This window comes from Homo sapiens, chromosome X (assembly GCF_000001405.40).
Source record: "Homo sapiens chromosome X, GRCh38.p14 Primary Assembly".
NCBI lineage: Eukaryota > Metazoa > Chordata > Mammalia > Primates > Hominidae > Homo > Homo sapiens.
In genome coordinates, this window is record NC_000023.11 from 147,975,839 (window position 1) to 147,992,632 (window position 16,794).

At 43.3% G+C, this 16,794-nt stretch overlaps 1 protein-coding gene across 1 annotated transcript in view; it reads left to right on the forward strand.

The window, feature by feature from the left end:
- FMR1NB (FMR1 neighbor) overlaps positions 5,499-16,794 on the forward strand; it is a 45,329-nt gene continuing 34,033 nt past the window's right edge. Inside the window, exon 1 of the mRNA NM_152578.3 lies at positions 5,499-5,841. Coding sequence (NP_689791.1) covers positions 5,565-5,841 — 277 coding nt within the window. The 5' untranslated portion in view covers positions 5,499-5,564. The remainder of the gene's footprint in view (positions 5,842-16,794) is intronic.

Genomic DNA, 16,794 nt, shown 5'->3' on the forward strand with positions numbered 1-16,794 from the left:
ATGATTTAGAATTGTTGACATGGTGATAATAACAAAGCAGACCAAATTATAATTGGTTTTCTTCTTCTTCCTTCTCTAGAGGCAGTGCACTTCCTCATTGCCTGCAACCAAGGAAATGCTCCCATTGCCCTGGCCTTGATATGTCACTGGTTTCCTACTGTGTTGTTCTAGAAATTTTTTCCTGGAAGCCCAGATAAGCCTCCTCCTCCAGTCCTTCCTATAATTCTGTAATCAACAAATTCCCTATATGAAAATCCCTCTTTGCTTAAACTATCTAGTTATGTATTCTAACTATTCTAGTTATCTGCAACTAAACCCTGACTGATACAGATAGTAGGCAAGGAACAGGGGATTTTGCTTAGAGCAATAGCTGTTAAAAACATTCATTCCTTTATCCATCCATTCACTCAACAAATACTTACATGGATCTCTCTGAATATATATAGCTATGCCTATGTGTTATTCAAATTTGGGGTATTTTCTCCTGAGAGCATTTAATTTTGACTAGGCGATCAAGTCATGCACAAGAGAGATGGATTGGACAACTATATTAGTTAGAAAGCGTTTGGCTGTCAGAAACAGAAACACTAACTCAAAATGGTTAAAACTATTAGGAAATATATTATCTTACAAACTGGAAGTTCCACAATGGGTCAAGTTTTGGGGTAGCTCAATGATATCATTAGGTATTCAGGTTCTTCCTGTCCCTCTCTTCTGCCATACTCCATATTGACTTCATCCTTATACCTGCAGCAAGATGGCTTCAGCTCAACCAGAAACAACAATGATCAGAGAAAGAGAACAGAATGATTCTCTCTTAGGAGTAAGTAGATTGCTGTGTCATTACGGCCCCACTCACAGGTGATCTGTAGGACAACGGGGAAGGGAACCTGTTGGGCAGAACTTTGAGTCATGTATTTGGTTGTCCCCTTCGTCTGGAACTTGTCTTATTTGCCAGGAAGAAGAAAAAGGCTGTAGCAAGGATCTATGCTGAATCATGGCAGAGACTAATGTTGCGGCTGGATGGTCAGGGTCTTGGAAGAAGCAAGTTTGGAGTATTGCAAGTTTGGAGCAAGTTTGGAGCAAGGAAATTTGAGAAAGAAGTATGTGAATTGATCTAGAATGTATGTCTTGCATATGAATATTTATCAAAAGGTTCTCTTTGTAGGAGAGCTGCTAAATAGTCAGATGGGCTTAATGCCCATTCAGTGGATATCAATCAGACTCTCTCTACCACTCCGGTGCTTGATGGATGAGCTCATATACAAAGTGGCCTTGGGGACAGAGATGAAAATATGCATGGACTCAATAATATGAATTTCTTCTCACCAAAACATACTACTTCTTGGATGCCCAATTTACCAGCAGCAGCCATTAGCCCTGGGTCCCTGATATGGTATAATATCCTATGGGTACCAACGAGCCATCTTGGGACAGTTTGATTGGTTTGGACCCCTTTTATTATAGACTGGACAGTGACTTGTTTCTTAACTTGAATAGATTGTAACTCCAAATTGGATTTGTTTTCCTGTTTACCATACCTCGGCTAGCCCTACCATCTGTAGATTTATTGAATACCTTACACAGCACTATTGTATCTCACACAACATTGCTTCTATCAAAGGAACTCACATTACCCTGATCTAAGTACAGCAATGAAATGAAGCCTGTTGGCTTCACTGGTTTTACCACATGCCAACTCACCTAGAAGAAATCAGCCTAATAAAACAATGAAGTCACCTCTTATAGGTCTACTTATGACATGGCCTAGCAAAAAACACCCTGTCAGTTTGGGGTACCATCTTGCAGGAATGTGCTGTACATGCTGAACAAGGACTAGTGATCAACATATGGTGTTGTTTCCTCCATAACCAGAACACATGGGGCTGAGAACCAAGGGATGATGGCAAGATTGACATCTCATGATCCACCTACAAAAAATTGGGTGTTTGGCTTCCTATTCTCACAACTTTGGTTTCTGCTATTTTAGAATTAGAAGCTTATTATTATTCAATATTTCTTTCAGGGAACACAACAATGATTCCCCTCAATTAGAAGCTGGGACTGCCACCTCATGCTGGTAGGCAAACCAGAAAAAAAAAAAAGATAATTACTACCTTGGCTAAGGCAACTGATCCTGATTATCATTAAATGTTATACATTATAGGAATGAACTAGTTTGCTTTTATTACTCTACTGAGACATCATTTATGTTATTTCCACTATAACAATGAACATTGTTGTACATGTCCCCTTGTACACATGGGTGAAAGGGTAGATACCTGAAAGTGGAATTCCTAGGTCACAGAATATGTGAATATTTAACTTTACAATGTGTTGTCAAAAACTCACCAAAGTGGGCCAGGCGCAGTGGCTCATGCCTGTAATCCCAGCACTTCGGGAGGCCGAGACGGGCAGATTACCTGAGGTCAGGAGTTCGAGATCAGTCTGGCCAACATATAGTGAAACCCCTTCTCTACTAAAAAATACAAAGTTAGCCTGGCGTAGTGGCACACACCTGTAGTCCCAGTTACTTGGGATGCTGAGGCAGGAGAATTGCTTGTACCCGGGAGGCGGAGCTTTCAGTGAGCTGAGATCGTGCACTGCACTCCAGCCTGGGCAACAGAGCGAGACTCTGTCTCTCAAAAAAAAAAAATCACCAAAGTGGTTGTACCCATTTGTAACCCCACCTACAATGACCAAAGTCCTATTTGTATATATTCGTGTGGATATTTATTTAGTTTTGCTAATCTGATCAGTGTGAAAAATCTCATTATTGATTTAACTTATATTCCCATGATTACTTGAGCTCAGGCATCTTTTCATGTCTGTGGTGATATTTGAAAAAAAAATAGTGTCAATTATGTTTTCCACAAGAACAGTAGTTACATTCTGAGCAGTGGTATGCACCATCTCATGAAACAATTCTTGTATTCATGCCCATGCAACACATTTTTATCTCTAATTAGGTCTGGGTTGTTTAGTATCAAATTTAGCTCCCTTGAGGGTATAGGACAAAAGAGGAAAGCCAGTGCAGGATTTTAAATTTACATCTGATAATCTGTAAAATGGACACTTCATATGGCTTGTGTGTGTGTGTGTGGGGGGGGGGCCTCAATCTCTAATTAGTGTTGTGTAAACCAGGAAGTGCTGAGATGTAATCTTAGGGATTTTGTCCCTTGAGTTCCTGTTAGTAATTTGGGTTTCTAATGGTATAACGTGGATTGCATTGTAGTAGAACTGCCATGCCTCACGGGTTTGCAGCAACCTCAAATGCTACAGTCAAGTATGAGTCATAGCATGCCAGAGCTGGATGGTATCTTCACAATCGGGCTATCCACAGCCCATAATTGGTGAAGGGGGGAAACTAAGGCGAATAGAGCTCAACCTGTGAGGTGGCAAAGAGCTGAGTTCCCAATTGCGTGCTCCAGCTTGATCTGAGACCTCAGGGTGGCTGTGCGGTGTCTGGTCATATGATAATTTTCCACCTGTGCTATGACATGAACAAGGCTGCTGTTGGGAGACAATTTTCCATGGATTTGTTGAGTTTCTGTATGTCTCAGGAGAGCTTTTGTCCTTTGTCTCTGACTCAGTAGTCTTGCATCTTCTGCCAGCATCTATAAAACTGCAACTAGTTACCTTGTTACTTGAAAGAAGAGTAAAATCTCAGATACTTCACAGCTCCTCACAGTTGAAAGCAGTAGTTTCAGAAGCTATTAATAAATGTTTTGTGTGATAAGAATCCTCTCATCAAATTCGTTTTGGAAAAGCTGAAGCCAAAAAAAGAATTTAAAAAAATATAGAAGGAAAGTGGGTTCTTTTCCTGTTAGACTCTTTGATAAACTAAACAGCATTATAAATGGCTCTTGGGCATGGGGCAGGGATGGGTGGAGTGTGCTACGTTTCAAGAATTATTGGAATAGGAAGCCTTGCTTCTCCCTTCCTCTGTGGGATGCTTAGGAACACTGGAAATAAGAATAGAATAAAAGTAGTAGAAACGGAAAGTACGTATAATATAATTATGAATAAGGATGGAAATGCAGTTGGGGTGGTTTTCATATCCTTTGTAAACTAGAATGTGGTAAGCTAACAGTTATGGAAGCAGTACCTACACAGTCCTTTTGCTGGTGTGCCCAAACCAAGGAAGATAATGGGATTTTGCCCAAGGGTCAGATTTTAGAGCCAAAAGGGGGTCTAGAAACAATGTCCAACCCTTCCATTTTACACATGAGGCACCAAGGCCTAGTGGGAGGAAGGCATTTACTTAGAGCCACCCAGTTCATGGGTGGTAATTTTAGCAGTAAAACGTAAATGATTTTAGTCACTTTTCAGTGTTCGTCACACATTATTTGTTCTCATGTTATCGTATTGTTTTATTTATTTGTAACTCAGTTTTAAGGTTTCATAAGGCAAATAGCATTTTGTCTAACACGTAAAGCTTCTACTAAAGTGTAACAATCTATTGAATATCTACGATATTCACTAGTCACTCTTCAAATCCAATACTGCCCAAAACGACTTTTTGCCATGATGAAAATGCTCCAGCCAGACACGGTGACTCACACCTGTAATCCCAGCACTTTGGGAGGCCGAGGTGGGCACATCACCAGAGGTCAGGGGTTCGAGACCAGCCTGGCCAACATGGTGAAACCTTATCTCTACTAAAAATACAAAAACTGGCCAGGCGTGGTGGTGTGCGCCTGTAATCCCAGCTATTCCAGAAGCTGAGGCAGGAGAATGGCGTGAACCTGGGAGGCGGAGCTTGCAGTGAGCCGAGATCGCGCCACTGCACTCCAGCCTGGGAGACAGCAAGACACCGTCTCAAAAAAAAAAAAAAAAAAAAAAAAAAGAAACAAAGAAAAAAAAAATCCATATTGCCAGTGTCCAGGATGGCAGCCATAAGCCACATGCGACTATTGAGCACTTGTTAATGTGGCTACTGTGATTGAGGAACTGTTTTCTTAATTTCATTTAATTTTAAGTAATTGAAATTTGCATTTAAATAGCCACATTTGGCTAGCAGCTGCTGTCGTGAGTGCTGTAATGACGAACTGTAGTGACCATACACTACAGTGTGCACTCTGGGAATGAGGAGGAATTAACGGCTAAGGTTGGAGTCAGAATCCGAGTTATTCCTTTTTGTTGATCTATGGCAAGCAGTCATGCCACTGGTGCAGGCCTGAAGCCCCGTTCACTTGTTCCACAAGCATTTAGCAAGCACCTATATGCCAGGCTTTGAGTGGGAGTGTGGGGGTGCACCAACCACTGGCCACGTGGTTATAAGGGTCTGGGCCTGTGGAATGAAGCAGAAGACGTCATCGTGAAGGAATCAGTTTCAGGTCTCGCGAGAGTTGGCACATGCCACGCGAGGGCCACTGCCCTATTGGCTTCTGAGTCACGGACTGCCCCGGAAGCTTCTGGGCCACGGACTGCCCCGGAAGCTTCTGGGCCACGGACTGCCCCGGAAGCTTCTGGGCCACGGACTGCCCCGGAAGCTTCTGGGCCACGGACTGCCGGACCGTTGGGCTGTGAGGCAGCGTCTCAGCGAGGCGGCACCCGGAGCCATGTCTTCACATAGGAGGAAAGCGAAGGGGAGGAATAGGAGAAGTCACCGTGCCATGCGTGTGGCTCACTTAGAGCTGGCAACTTATGAGTTGGCGGCAACTGAGTCGAATCCCGAGAGCAGCCATCCTGGATACGAGGCCGCCATGGCTGACAGGCCTCAGCCAGGATGGCGGGAATCTCTAAAGATGCGGGTCAGCAAACCCTTTGGGATGCTCATGCTCTCCATTTGGATCCTGCTGTTCGTGTGCTACTACCTGTCCTACTACCTGTGCTCCGGTGAGTGCTGGCTCAGGCCAGGCAGGGAAATGCTGGGGGAGGGGGAGGGGGAGGGAGAGGGGGGCGGGGTGTGGCAACACACCGGCACCAACCATAGGCCTTCCTGCCCCTTCCTGTCCTCTCTCCTCCCAAAGGCCTTTATGGCCCTATCCTCAGCAGTCCTTACAAAGTCCTGCCCTCTCTCGCCTGGCCGCAGGAAGTCTTTCCTGCCTAAACTCACTTATAAAAGACTTTCCCTCCCCAACTTCCCCTAACAAAAGCCTTCCCTTCCTCACTTCCCGCCACAAAATAGACTAACCTCCCTTGTCGCCCCTTTTTAAAAATTGAGGACAAGGCACGGTGGCTCACATCTGTAATCCCAGCACTTTAGGAGGCTGAAGCAGGTGGATCACTTGAGGTCAGGAGTCCAAACCAGCCTGGCCAACATGGTGAAACCCTCATCCCTACTAAAAATACAAAAATTAGCCGGGCATGGTGGTGCACGCCTGTAATCCCAGTTAATCGGGAGGCTGAGGCAGGAGAATCGCTTGAATTCGGGAGGTGGAGGTTGCAGTGAGCTGGCATGGTGCCACTGCACTCCAGCCTGGTGAGAGAGCGAGACTCCGTCTAAAAAGAAAAAAAAAAAAGGACTGGGCGCAGTGCTCACGCCTGTAATCCCAATACTTTGGGAGGCCGAGGCGGGCGGATTGCCTGAGCTTAGGAGTTCAAGACTAGCCTGGGCAACAAGGTGAAACCCCGTCTCTACTAAAATACAAAAAAATTAGCTGGGCGTGGTGGCATTCACCTGTAGTCCCAGCTACTTGGGAGGCTGAGGCAGGAGAATTGCTTGAACCCGGGAGGCGGAGGTTGCAGTGAGCTGAGATCGCACCACTGCACTCCAGCCTGGGCGACAGAGCGAGACTCCGTCTCAAAAAAAAAAAAAAAAAAAAAAAGGCCGGGCGCGGTGGGTCATGCCTGTAATCCCAGCACTTTGGGAGGCGGAGGCGGGTGGATCACGAGGTCAGGAGATCGAGACCATCCTGGTTAACACGGTGAAACCCCGTCTGTACTAAAAATACAAAAAAATTAGCCAGGTGTGGTGGCAGGCGCCTGTATTCCCAGCTACTTGGGAGGCTGAGGCCGGAGAACGGCATGGACCCGGAAGGCGGAGCTTGCAGTGAGCCAAGATCGCGCCACTACACTCCAGCTTGGGCGACAGAGCGAGGCTCCATCTCAAAAAAATGAAAAAAAAATTGAAGTGAAATTCATATAACATAAATTAACTATTTTATAGTGAACAATTAAAGGGATTTCGTTCCTGTAAATGTTGTGCAACCATCACCCCATGTAGTTCCAAAATATTTTAACCACCCCAAATTAAAACCCATACCCATGAACCAGTTACTCCCAATTCCCCAGTCCATAAGGGTACTTAATTCCTTTTTATGGCTAACTAGTATTCCATTGTAGGGATATACTATATTTTTATCTAGTTTTTGAAATTTACCGAATTTGGGTTGTTTCCACTTTGGGCCTATTATGAACAATACTGCTATGAGCATTTGTGTACAAGTTGTTGTGTAGACATGTTTTGAATTCTCTAGGAGTAGAATTGCTGGGTCATATGGGAACTCCATTGATCTTTTTGAGGAAGTCCCACACTGTTTTACAAAGTGGTTGAACCGTTTTACATCTCCACTAACAATGTTTGAAGGTTTCAATTTCACCAATATATGTTATCTGTCCCCCTTGTTATACATTATAGCCATTATAGTAGGAGTGAAATAGTATCTCTTTATGGTTTTGATTTATATTTTCCTAATGCCTAATGACGTTGAGCATGTTTTATATGCTTGTTGGCCATTCGTACATCTTTGGAGAAATGTCTTTTCAATTATTTGACCATTTTTAATTGGATCGTTTGTGGTTTTGCTGTTGAGCTTTAAGAATTCTTTATATATTCTGGATACTGGATCCTTATCAGATACCTGATTTGCAAATGTTTCCTCCCATTCTGTGGGTAGTCTTTTCACTTTCTTGATAATGTCCTTTGATGTAAAAATGTTTTTAATTTTGAGAAAGTTCAATTTATCTATTTTGTCTTTGGTTGCTTGTGTTTTGGAGTCATATCTAAGAATCCGTTGCCAGATCCAAGGTCATGACGATTACTCCCATGTTTGCTTCTAAGAGTTTTACGGTTTTAACTCTCATATTCAGATTGTTGATCCATTTGGAGTTGATTTTGGCATATGGTGTATGTTAAGGGTCCAACTTCATTCTTTGGCGTGTGGATAGCCCCTCGTTCCAGCACCACTTGTTGAAGAGACGATTTTTTCCTCTTGGCAGCCTTCTGAAAAATCAGTTGATTATAGATTTATAGGTTTAGTTCTGGACTCTGAATTTTATTCTGGTCTACGTGTCTATCTCTATGCTGGTACCACATTCTTTTGATTACTGCAGCTTTATAGCAAGTTTAGAAATTGGAATGTGTGAGTCCATCATTTTCGTTCTTCTTTATCCATACTGTTTTGCGTATTCATGGCCACTAACGACTCTATATAAATTTGAGAGTCAGCTTTTCCGTTTCTGCCCCAAGCCCATTGGAATGTTGATAGAGTTGGCATTGAATCTGTAGATCACTTTGGAAGTGCTGCCATCTTAACAATATTAGGGATTCCAATCTGTGACCACCCCATGTCTTTCCATTTATTAATGTCTTCTTTAATTTATTTCAGTAATGTTTTGTAGTTTTCAGTTTACAGGTCTTTAACTTCCTTGGTTAAATTTATTTTTAGATATTTTATTCTTTTGTATGCTATTGCAAATGGAATGGTTTCCTTTTTCTTTTCATATTGTTCTTTGCTGGTGTATAGAAGCACAGCTCATTTTTACCTGTTGGTCTCGTACCCTGTAAAATTGTGAAATTAATTTATTAGCTCTAGTAAGATTTTGTGGGCTTTTTGGATATTCTAGACATAGAATCATGTTATCTGTAAATAGAGAGAGTTTTACTTTTTACTTTCCGATTTTCATGCCATTTATTTATCCTTATTGCTTAATTGCTCTTGCTAGAACTTCCAGTACAATATTGAATAGCAGTGATGAAAGCAGGCATCCATGTTTTAGAGGAAGCTTTTGGTTTTTCAACATTGATTATAATGTTAGCTGTTCATCAGCTCTTCATCATGTTAAGTAAGATTCATTCTGTTCCTAGTTTGCTGAGTGATTTTATTACGACAGGGTTTTAGATTTTGTCAGATGCTTTTTTTGCATCAATTGAGATATGAAATTGTTTCCCTTTGTGTATTATGTTGACTGATTTTCTTATGTTCAACTGTCTTTAGATTAGTGGGATGAACCCCACTTTATAGTCATTGTGTATAATCCTTATAATACGCTGTTGCATTTGGTTTGCTGGTATTTTGTAGGAGAATTTTCTATCTATATTCATAAGCGATATTGGTCTGCAGTTTTCTTGTGGTGTCTTTGCCTGCCCTTGGGATCATGTTACTACTGAACTCCTAGAATGAGTTAAGAAGTATTGTTGCTGGAAGATTTTGAGAACGATTGATGTTAATTCTTCTTTAAATATTTGGTAGAAATTACCAGTGAAGCCATCCGTTCCTAGATTTTTTTTGTTGAAACATTTTATTTTTGATTTTATTTTTACTTTAAAAAAAGTTATGGGATACATGTGCAGAACGTGCAGGTTTGTTACACAGGTATACATGTGCCATGGTGGTTTGCTGCACCTATCAACCTGTCAACTAGGTTTTAAGTGGTATTTGTCTGAATGCTCTCCCTCCCCTTTCCCCCAACCCCTCGACAGGCCCTGGTGTGTGATGCTCCCCTCCCTGTGTCCATGTCTTCTCATTGTTCAACTCCCACTTATGTGTGAGAACATGCGGTGTTTAGTTTTCTGTCCCTGTGTTAGTTTGCTGAGGATGATGGTTCCCAACTTCATCCATGTCCCTGCAAAGGACATGAACTCATTCTTTTTTATGGCTGCATAGTATTCCATGGTGTGTATGTGCCACATTTTATTTATCCAGTCTATCATTGATGGGCATTTGGGTTGGTTCCAAGTCTTTGTTATTGTAAATAGTGCTGCAATAAACATACATGTGCATGTGTCTTTATAGTAGAATGACTTATAATCCTTTGGGTATATACCCAGTAATGGGATTGCTGGGTCAAATGGTATTTCTGGTTCTAGATCCTTGAGGAATTGCCACACTGTCTTCCACAATGGTTGAACTAATTAACACTCCCACCAACAGTGTAAAAGTGTTTCTATTTCTTCACATCCTCACCAGCATCTGTTGTTTCCATACATTTTAATGATTGCCATTCTAACTGGCTTGAGATGGTATCTCATTGTGGTTTTTATTTGCATTTCTCTAATGACCAGTGATGATGAGCTTCTTTTCATATGTTTGGGGGCCTCATAAATGGCTTCTTTACAGAAGTGTCTGTTCCTATCCTACACCCACTTTTTAATGGGGTTGTTTATTTATTTCTTGTAAATTTGTTTAAGCTCCTTGTAGATTCTGGTTATTAGACCTTTGTCAGATGGATAGATTGCAAAAATTTTCTCCCATTCTATAGGTTGCCTGTTCACTCTGATGATAGTTTCTTTTGCTGAGCAGAAGCTCTTTAGTTTAATTAGATCCCATTTGTCAATTTTGGCTTTTGTTGCCATTGCTTTTGGTGTTTTAGTCATGAAGCCTTTGCCCATGCCTCTGTCCTGAATGGTATTGCCTAGATTTTCTTCTAGGGTTTTTATGGTTTTAGGTCTTATGTTTAAGTCTTTAATCCATCTTGAGTTTACTTTTGCATAAGGTGTAAGGAAGGGGTCCAGTTTCTGCTTCCTGCATATGGCTAGCCAGTTTTCCCAACACCATTTATTAAATAGGGAATCCTTTCCCCATTGCTTGTTTTTGTCAGGTTTGTCAATGATCAGATGGTTGTAGAGGTGGGGTGTTAATTCTGAGGCCTCTGTTCTGTTCCATTTTTCTATATATCTGTTTTGGTACCAGTACTATGCTGTTTTGGTTACTGTAGTCTTGTAGTATAGTTTGAAGTCAGGTAGTGTGATGCCTCCAGCTTTGTTCTTTTTGCTTAGGATTGTCTTGGTTACACGGGCTCTTTTTTGGTTCCATATGAAATTTAAAGTAGTATTTTCTAGTTCTGTGAAGAAAGCCAATGGTATCTTGATGGGAATAGCAACGAGTCTATAAATTACTTTGGGCAGTATGGCCATTTTCACGATACTGATTCTTCTTATCAATGAACATGGAATTTTTTTTCCATTTGTTTGTGTCGTCTCTTATTTCCTTGAGCAATGGTTTGTCGTTCTCCTTGAAGAGGTCCTTCATGTCCCTTGTAAGTTGTGTTCCTATGTATTTTATTTTCTTTGTAGCAATTGTGAATGGGAGTTCACTCATGATTTGGCTCTGTGCTTTTCTATTCTTGGTGTATAGGAATGCTTGTTATTTTTGCACATTGATTTTGTATCCTGAGACTTTGCTGAAGTTGTTTATCAGCTTAAGGAGTTTTGGGGCTGAGACGATGGGGTTTTCTAAATATATAAAATCATGTCATCTGCAAACAGAGACAATTTGACTTCCTCTCTTCCTATTTGAATACACTTTATTTCTTTCTCTGGCATGATTGCTTTGGCCAGAACTTCCAATACTATGTTGAATAGGAGTGGTGAGAGAGGGCATCCTTGTCTTGTGCCGGTTTTCAAAGGGAATGCTTCCAGCTTTTGCCCATTCAGTATGATGTTGGCTATGGGTTTGTCATAAATAGCTCTTATTATTTTGTGATGCTGAGAAGAATGTATATTCTGTTGATTTGGGGTAGAGTCTTCTATAGGTGTCTGTTAGGTCTGCTTGGTCCAGAGCTGAGTTCAAGTCCTGAATATCCTTGTTAATTTTCTATCTCGTTGATCTGTCTAATATTGACAGTGGGTTGTTAAAGTCTCCCACTATTATTGTGTGGGAGTCTGTCTTTTTGTAGGTCTGTAGGAATTTGTTTTATGAATCTGAGTGCTCCTGTATTGGGTGCATATGTATTTAGGATAATTAGCTCTTCTTTTTGCATTGATTCCCTTTACCATTATGTAATGCCCTTCTTTGTCTTTTTTGATTTAAATTTGTTTTATCAGAGACTAGGATTGGTTTTTTTTTTCTTTCTATTTGCTTGGTGAAATTTCTCCATCCCTTTATTTTGAGACTGTGTATGTCTTTGCATGTGAGATGGGTCTCCTGAATACAGGACACCAATGGGTCTTGGCTCTATCCAATTTGCCAGTCTCTGTATTGTAATTGGGGCATTTAGCCGATTTACATTTAAGGTTAATATTGTTATGTGTGAATTTGATCCTGTCATCATGATGCTAGCTGTTTTGCACATTAGTTGATGCAGTTTCTTCATAGTGTCATTGGTCTTTGTATTTTGGCGTGTTTTTGCAGTGGCTGGTACTGGTTTTTCCTTTCCATATTTAGTGCTTCCTTCAGGTACTCTTGTAAGGCAGGCCTGGTGGTGACAGAATCCCTTAGGATTTGCTTGTCTGTAAGGATTTTATTTCTCCTTCGCTTATGAAGCTTAGTTTGGCTGGATATGAAATTCTGGGTTGAAAATTCTTTTCTTTAAGAATATTAAATATTGGCCCCACTCTATTCTGGCTTGTAGGGTTTCTGCAGAGAGATCTGCTGTTAGTCTGATGGGCTTCCCTTTGTAGGTAACCTGACCTTTCTGTCTTGCTGCTCTTAACATTTTTTCCTTCATTTCAACCTTGGTGAGTCTGATGATTATGTGCCTTGGGGTTGCTCTTCTCGAGGAGTATCTTTGTGGTGTTCTATTTCCTGAATTTGAATGTTGGCCTGTCTTGCTAGGTTAGGGGAAGTTCTCCTGGATAACATCCTGAAGTGTGTTTTCCAACTTTGTTCCATTCTCCCCGTCACTTTCAGGGACCTCAATCAAACGTAGGTTTTGTCTTTTCACATAGTCCCATATTTCTTGGAGGCTTTTTTCATTCCTTTTCAATCTTTTTTCTCTAATCTTGTCTTCACGCCTTATTTCATTAAGTTGATCTTCAATCCCTAATATCCTTTCTTCTTCTTGATTGATTTGGCTATTGATACTTGTGTATGCTTCACGAAGTTCTCGTGCTGTGTTTTTCAGCTCCATCAGTTCATTTATGTTCTTCTCTAAACTGGTTATTCTAGTTAGCAGTTCCTGTAACCTTTTGTCAAGATTCTTAGCTTCCTTGCATTAGATTAGAACATGCTCCTTTAGCTCAGAGGAGTTTGTTATTACCCACCTTCTGAAGCCTACTTTGTCAAACCCATTCTCTATCCAGTTTTCTGCCCTTGCCGGAGAGGAGTTGTGATCATTTGGAGGCGAAGAGGCATTCTGGTTTTTGGAATTTTCAGCATTTTTGCACTGTTTTTTCCTCATTTTTGTGGATTTATCTACCTTTGATCTTTGAGGCTGAAGAACTTTGGATGGGATTTCTGTGTGGGGGTTCTTTTTGCTGATGTTGATGTTACTGCTTTCCATTTGTTAGGTTTTCTTCTAACAGTCAGGCCCCTCTGTGGCAGGTCTGCTCTAGTTTGCTGGAGGTTCACCCCAGACCCTGTTTTCCTGGTTATCACCAGTGGAGGCTGCAGAACAGCAAAGATTGCTTTCTGCTCCTTTCTCTGGAAGCTTCATCTCAGAGGGGCACCAGCCTGATGCCAGCCAGAGCTCTCCTGTATGAGGCTCCTGTCACCCCCTGTTGGGAGGTCTCTCCCAGTCAGGAGGCACAGGGGTCAGGGACCCACTTGAGGATGCAGTCTGTCCCTTAGCAGAGCTCGAGTGCTGTGCTTGTAGAACCCTCCTTGTCAGGGTCCACTGCTCTCTTCAGAAGTGGCAGGCAGGAACGTTTAAGTCTGCTGAAGCTGCGCCGACAGCCGCCCCTTTCCTCGGGTGCTCTGTCCCAGTGAGACGGGAGTTATATCTTTAAGCCCTTGACTGGGGTTGCTGCCTTTCTTTCAGAGATGCCCTGCCCAGTGAAGAGGAATCTAGAGAGGCTGTCTGGACACAGCTGTTTTGCCACACTGTGTTGAGTTCCACCCAGTCCTTAGCACAGTCAGGGGAAAGCCGCCTACTCAAGCCTCAGTAATGGTGGATGTCCCTCCCCACACCAAGCTCAATTGTCCCAGGTCGACTTCAGACTGCTGTGCTGGCAGGGAGAAATTCAAGCCAGTCATTCTTAGCTTCCTGGGCTCTGTGGGAGTTGGACCCACTGGCTTGGCTCCCTGGCTTCAGCCCCCTTTCCAGGGGAGTGAACAGTTCTGTCTCACTGGGGTTCCAGGTGCCACTGGGCTAAGAAAAAAAAAAAAAAAACAAAAGCTCCTGCAGCTAGCTCCGTGTCTGTCTGAACAGCTGCCAGTTTTGTGCTTGAAACCCAGGGCCCTGGTGGTGTAGGCACATGAGGGAATCTCCTGGTCTGTGGACTGCAAAAACCATAGAAAAAGCATAGTATCTGGGCCAGATAGCACAGTCTGTCACAGCTTCGCTTGGCTGGGAAAGGGATGCCTCTGCTCCTTGCACTTCCCAGGTAAGGCGACACCCCACCCTGCTTCTACTCACCCTCCGTGGGCTTCACCCACTGCCTAACCAGTCCCAATGAGATGAACAGGGTACCTCAGTTGGAAATGCAGAAATCACCCAACTTCTGCATTGGTCTTGCTGGGAGCTGCAGACCAGAGCTGTTCCTTTTCGGCCATCTTGCCAGCAGATGCCCCTGTTTTTGTATTTTTATATTGATATATCATAGTTGTATGTATTTTTGGGGTATATGTGATATTTTAATATGTATATACAATGTGTAGTGATCAAATCCAGGTAATTGAGATATCCATTACCTCAAAAATTTATCTTTGTGTTGGGAACATTCCAATTCTTCTCTTCTAGCTACTTTGAAATATAAAACAAATTATTATTAACTATAATTTCTCTGTTACAAGGGAGGTTTTGTTTAGTGTTTCAATCTCTTTATTTGTTATAGGTATTCTTTGAAAGGTCTTCCCTCCTTAACCTCCCTTCACAAAGTACTACATTTCCTTTCCCTTCTTTCAGAAATGACTTTCTCTCATAGGTGACTTTCCTCCCTCATCTCTCCCAAGACCTTCTTTTCAGTACCTCCATCACATGGGACTAACCTTCTTCACCACACCGCTGAAACCACTAACCTCCATCATCTCCTCTCTTAAAGCTTTTCCACCCCTAACCTCACTTGCTAACCTCCCTTACTTCACCACACATTTCCTCAATCTCCTCCCTTCACAAAAGTCTTTCCTTGCTCATTTCCCCTCATGAAAGCCTTTCTTTACTCACCTTCCATCACAGAGTCCTACCCTCCCGCATGTTCACTCACAAATGCTTTCTTTTATCTCTCTCTAAAGGCTTCCTACCACACTTCTGAAAAAGTGCTTACTTTTCTCACCTCAGTCGTGGAGGCCTTTAATTCCTCAACTCTTCACTAAAATTCCTTGTCTTCCTTCACAAAGACCTTTCTCCCTCATCTCCTCTCACAAGGGCCTTTCTTCTTTCACCTCCCTCATGAAATAATAACCTCCTTCATCTCCTCTTCATAGTCCTTTCTTATCTCACCAGTACATTCCCTGCCTCACCTTTGCTTATATAGTTCCAACCTCCCTTATCTCTCCTCACAAAGGTATACCCTCCATCTTCTCCTCTACCAAAATCTTCTTTCCATGCTCTCCCCTAACAAAATTCTAACCTCTTTCACCTCCCCTCACAAAGACCTAATCTTCTTTCATGGTTACCTTTCCTGCTTTCTTTACCTTCACAATTGACTTCCTTCCCTGCTCAAAGGCCTCCTTCCCTCAAGTCCCCTCACAAAACCCTAACTTTCTCACCTCCTTTCCCAAAAAACTTCCTTCCTTCACTTATCATCACAAAGGCCTTCCTTCTTTTTTTTTTTTTTTTTAATTTATTTTTTTATTGATAATTCTTGGGTGTTTCTCACAGAGGGGGATTTGGCAGGGTCATGGGACAATAGTGGAGGGAAGGTCAGCAGATAAACAAGTGAACAAAGGTCTCTGGTTTTCCTAGGCAGAGGACCCTGCGGCCTTCAGCAGTGTTTGTGTCCCTGATTACTTGAGATTAGGGATTGGTGATGACTCTTAACGAGCATGCTGCCTTCAAGCATCTGTTTAACAAAGCACATCTTGCACCGCCCTTAATCCATTTAACCCTGAGTGGACACAGCACATGTTTCAGAGAGCACAGGGTTGGGGGCAAGGTCACAGATCAACAGGATCCCAAGGCAGAGGAATTTCTCCCAGTGCAGAACAAAATGAAAAGTCTCCCATGTCTACTTCCTTCCACACAGACACGGCAACTATCTGACTTCTCAATCCCTTCCCCACCTTTCCCGCCTTTCTACTCCACAAAGCTGCCATTGTCATCCCGTCCCGTTCTCAATGAGCTGTTGGGCACACCTCCCAGACGGGGTGGTGGCCGGGCAGAGGGGCTCCTCACTTCCCAGTAGGGGTGGCTGGGCAGAGGCGCCCCTCACCTCCCGGACGGGGCGGCTGGCCGGGCAGGGGGGCTGACCCCCCCCACCTCCCTCCCAGAGGGGGCGGCTGGCCGGGCAGGGGGCTGACCCCCCACCTCCCTCCCGGACGGGGCGGCTGGCTGGGCAGAGGGGCTCCTCACTTCCCAGTAGGGGCCGCCGGGCAGAGGCACCCCTCACCTCCCAGACGGGGCGGCTGGCCGGGCGGAGTGCTGACCCCCCCACCTCCCTCCCGGACGGGGCAGCTGGCCGGGCGGGGGGCTGACCCCCCCCACCTCCCTCCCGGACGGGGTGGCTGCCGGGCGGAGACGCTCCTCACTTCCCAGATGGGGTGGCTGCCGGGCGGAGAGGCTCCTCACTTCTCAGACGGGGCAGCTGCC